The 5,132-nt window shown below is 37.1% G+C and overlaps 1 annotated feature.

Annotated features, from left to right (window-relative positions):
* Window positions 4,140-4,829: an enhancer, noted in NCBI's record as "OCT4-NANOG hESC enhancer chr2:210002645-210003334 (GRCh37/hg19 assembly coordinates)". NCBI's record gives its function as "activates a minimal SCP1, AML or CMV promoter by ChIP-STARR-seq in primed H9 embryonic stem cells {active_cell/tissue: H9 hESC(primed)}" and the evidence as "EXISTENCE:reporter gene assay evidence [ECO:0000049][PMID:30033119]".

Here is a 5,132-nt window from a genome sequence, read left to right on the forward strand (position 1 = left end):
ACACATGAAAAAATGTTCATCATCACTGGCCATCAGAGAAATGCAAATCAAAACCACAATGAGATACTATCTCAAACCAGTTAGAATGGCAATCATTAAAAAGTCAGGAAACAACAGGTGCTGGAGAGGATGTGGAGAAATAGGAACACTTTGACACTGTTGGTGGGACTGTAAACTAGTTCAACCATTGTGGAAGTCAGTGTGGCGATTCCTCAAGGATCTAGAACTAGAAATACCATTTGACCCAGCCATCCCATTACTGGGTATATACCCAAAGGATTATATATCTTGCTGCTATAAAGATACATGCACACGTATGTTTATTGCGGCATTATACACAATAGCAAAGACTTGGAACCAACCCAAATGTCCAACAATGATAGACTGAATTAAGAAAATGTGGCACATATACACCATGGAATACTATGCAGCCATAAAAAATGATGAGTTCATGTCCTTTGTAGGGACATGGATGAAATTGGAAATCATCATTCTCAGTAAACTATCGCAAGAACAAAAAACCAAACCCCGCATATTCTCACTCATAGGTGGGAATTGAACAATGAGATCACGTGGACACAGGAAGGGGAATATCACACTCTGGGGACTGTGGTGGGGTGTGGGGAGGGGGGAGGGATAGCACTGGGAGATATACCTAATGCTAGATGACGAGTTAGTGGGTGCAGCGCACCAGCATGGCACATGTATACATATCTAACTAACCTGCACAATGTGCACACGTACCCTAAAACTTAAAGTATAATAAAAAAAAATTTAAAAAAATAAATAAATAAATAAATATCATTTAATTCATGAAAAAAATAAAATAAAATAAAATTTACCTAGGCTTTCTAAAACATCCATGCATGGTTGTTATCTCTTTTGACTTCTAATGGACATAATAACATGTAATGGACATAAGGCAGCAGCTATTCAACCTCCCTCTTTCTTAACAAAGCAATGATGGGGCTCAGGTATCTACCTGTCTTTAATAAAGCTCACATGACTTAAAAGAAAGTAATTCTCATCTCTAGACCAATTCCATAGTACTTTCATTCCCCCAGGCCTCAAAGCCTAGGCTAATGCCAATCAGAGCATGGCATTTTCCCAAGGGTACCCTTTTTCTAGACTGCCATGTATTTATCTAAATATGAATGTCCTTATTATTTACACAAGTTATATTTAGCTTTGTACTACTTGTGTTCAAATGCATCCTATCTATAATCTATTTTGTTAACAATTCTTTGACACACTGTTATAATCTGTTTTACAGTTTATGAAACTGTAGTACTCAAAGGCTTTATGATGATGCCTTTAATTCTAGAAGTGTCTGTTTTATTAAAAGCAGAAAATATTTTATCCTTATCACTGTATAGTTAAAATACATCAATGCAATATATTTTTACTTTGTACGATATATATAGTGTTTTATAGAATTTTTACTTAAACTAATAGATTGAGTCATTTATTTATGAGTAAAGTATCCACTTGCTACTGTGGTGAACAAGCTAAAACCTTGGGTTACAGTTGCAATTCCCCATTTTGTTTGTATTCTATGGCTTGCTAGCTGTGTGATCTGGAGGAAGTTATTTAATATGACTGTGCCTCCTTTTCTCAGCTGTAAAATGGGGAGCAATAAAGCACTTGCCACATAAGCTTGCTCAGAGTATTAATACAGGCAATCCCTGTAAGAGGCTTAGCACAGGGCCTGGCATACTGTAGGTTTTTCAGTAGTTGTGAACTATTATTTTACCAAGTTTACACATGGAAATAAATATGACAACTTTTTTTTCAGTTTACACAAACTTCCTTTCAAACATCAACAAATAGTATTCTATTTCTCAATAACAAGTATCTGATGTCAGAGACTAAGGGAGAGACACATGGACTAAGTATAAAAGAATGGATTTTGCTTCAAAGCACTCTTTTTCAGTGTCTTACATTATCTCTCGGCCCTAACGTCGGTGTTGAAAATAGCTAGGAGGGTCTACCCCTGTGCCTTCTGGGTTCTCCCCATTCTTTTTTCTCTGGTGGATTTTTTGGCATCACATGAGTTGCTGTTTCTAAGAAAGTAAACGAGTGACAAGTAGACTACAGGACTACTGATGCATTTATCATCCTCATAGGAGTGCAGTCAAGTCCTATTTCCAGCTCTTCCATTATGCTGTGATATATTATAGTAACATTATTTGGTATTACATACCTAATGGAATTATCCAATCAGGTTTATAAACCTGTTAACAGACTCTTAATGAAAGGTTTGACCCTGCCTTTCCATATAAGAAGTGAATCAAACCCCAATCCAACATTTGTAGAATGCCACACTCAAAAATCTCAATAATCTCCTAAAGGAACACATGCAATGGTACTGCTTTCTTTCTTTCTTTTTTTGTTGTTGTTGTTGTCTTCTTTATACATAATTTTTTTTATTTCTATCACTTTTTTTTATTATTATACTTTAAGTTCTAGGATACATGTGCACAACGTGCAGGTGTGTTACATATGTATACATGTGCCATGTTGGTGTGCTGCACCCATTAACTCATCATTTACATTAGATATATCTCCTAATGCTATTCTTCCCCCATTACCCCACCCAACGACAGTCCCCAGTGTGTGATGTTCCCCCTCCTCTGTCCAAGTGTTCTCATTGTGCAATTCCCACCTGTGAGTGAGAACATGCGATGTTTGCTTTTTTGTCCTTGCAATAGGTTGCTGAGAATGATGGTTTCCAGCTTCATCCATGTCCCTACAAAGGACATGAACTCATCATTTTTTATGGCTGCATAGTATTCCATGGTGTATATGTGCCACATTTTCTTAACCCAGTCTATCATTGTTGGACATTTGGGTTGGTACCAAGTCTTTGCTATTGTGAATAGTGCCACAATGAACATATGTGTGCATGTGTCTTTATAGCAGCATGATTTATAATCCTTTGGGTATACACCCAGTAATGCGATGGCTGGGTCAAATGGTATTTCTAGTTCTAGATCCTTGAGAAATCACCACACTGTCTTCCACAATGGTTGAACTAGTTTACAGTCCCACCAACAGTGTCAAAGTGTTCCTATTTCTCCACATCCTCTCCAGCACCTGTTGTTTCCTGACTTTTTAATGATTGCCATTCTAACTGGTGTGAGATGGTATCTCATTGTGGTTTTGATTTGCATTTCTCTGATGGCCAGTGATGATGAGCATTTTTTCATGTGTCTTTTGGCTGCATAAATGTCTTCTTTTGAGAAGTGTCTGTTCATATCCTTCGCCCACTTTTTGATGGGATTTTTTTTTCTTGTAAATTTGTTTGAGTTCTTTGTAGATTCTGGATATTAGCCCTTTGTCAGATGAGTAGATTGCAAAAATTTTCTCCCATTCTGTAGGTTGCCTGTTCACTCTGATGGTAGTTTCTTTTGCTGTGCAGAAGCTCTTTAGTTTAATTAGATCCCATTTGTCTATTTTGGCTTATGTTGCCATTGCTTTTGGTGTTTTAGACATGAAGTCCTTGCCCATGCCCATGTCCTGAATGGTATTGCCTAGGTTTTCTTCTAGGGTTTTTATGGTTTTAGGTCTAACAGTTAAGTCTTTAATCCATTTTGAATTAATTTTTATATAAGATGTAAGGAAGGGATCCAGTTTCAGCTTTGTACATGTGGCTAGCCAGTTTTCCCAGCACCATTTATTAAATAGGGAATCCTTTCCCATTTCTTGTTTTTGTTGGGTTTGTCAAAGATCAGGTGGTTGTAGATGTGTGGTATTATTTCCGGGGGCTCTATCTGTTCCATTGGTCTATATCTCTGTTTTGGTACCAGTACCATGCTGTTTTGGTTACTGTAGCCTTGTAGTATAGTTTGAAGTCAGGTAGCATGATGCCTCCAGCTTTGTTCTTTTGACTTAGGATTGTCTTGGCAATGCGGGCTCTTTTTTGGTTCCATATGAACTTTAAAGTAGTTTTTTCCAATTCTGTGAAGGAAGTCATTGGTAGCTTTATGGGGATGGCAGTGAATCTATAAATTACCTTGGGCAGTATGGCCATTTTCATGATATTGATTCTTCCTATCCATGAGCATGGAATGTTCTTCCGTTTGTTTGTGTCCTCTTTTACTTCATTGAGCAGCGGTTTGTAGTTCTCCTTGAAGAGGTCCTTCACATCCCTTGTAAGTTGGATTCCTAGGTATTTTATTCTCTTTGAAGCAATTGTGAATGGGAGTTCACTCATGATTTGGCTCTCTGTTTGTCTGTTATTGGTGTATAAGAATGCTTGTGATTTTTGTACATTGATTTTGTATCCTGAGACTTTGCTGAAGTTGCTTATCATCTTAAGGAGATTTGGGGCTGAGAGGATGGGGTTTTCTAAATATACAATCATGTCATCTGCAAACAGGAACAATTTGACTTCCTCTTTTCCTAATTGAATACCTTTAAAAGAGCCCATCCTAAAATGCAAAGCGTTCACCTCAGGGAGCGGAAATTTGTGATTGTTTTTCTCATGCTTTAAATCCCATTAGCAATGTTCCTGCTGCTCTCCTTAAGATTTTACTGTAGAAACTCTAAAGCCTGGGAAATGTCAAAGTCACATTCTCAAACCAAAGACACGTCTAAGGGAAGAAAAGTAAGATAGAAATAAGCTGAACTTTTCTGGTCAGGAATGCAGATGGTAGAAGTGGTGTTAACATCCTGGAAGGAAGGTTCTGCTCACAAGGATACTCACTGTAGAATTGTTCACTGCAGTAAAAAGTTGGAAACTACCTACTGGGTCCTGAATGAAATAACAATTAATTAAATGAAAATGGTGGTTTGGAAGTAATTTAAGTTAGTGTTAAGCACCATCCATAGGCTCCTTTTCTTTACCTCACAGGGATAGCCCTATTTCCAGCCAGCTTTCTAGAAACTCTTTTTTTCAATTTAATAAGTTAATTGTATGTTTTTTGTTCTGAACATTATCTTTAGAGAGTATTCCTATCTCTGTTTATTTCTCATCCAACAAAAAACTGACAAAACCACATGTGTGCATATGGTCAAGGTTTTTAAAAATTATAAATTTAACATGGATTCATTTGGAAAACAAAAGCATAAAGAAGACATCGAAATCTGTGATTTACTCCTCATCCAGATGTATAGCTAGTATTGGCTTG

This window comes from Homo sapiens, chromosome 2, assembly GCF_000001405.40.
Source record: "Homo sapiens chromosome 2, GRCh38.p14 Primary Assembly".
Lineage (NCBI taxonomy): Eukaryota > Metazoa > Chordata > Mammalia > Primates > Hominidae > Homo > Homo sapiens.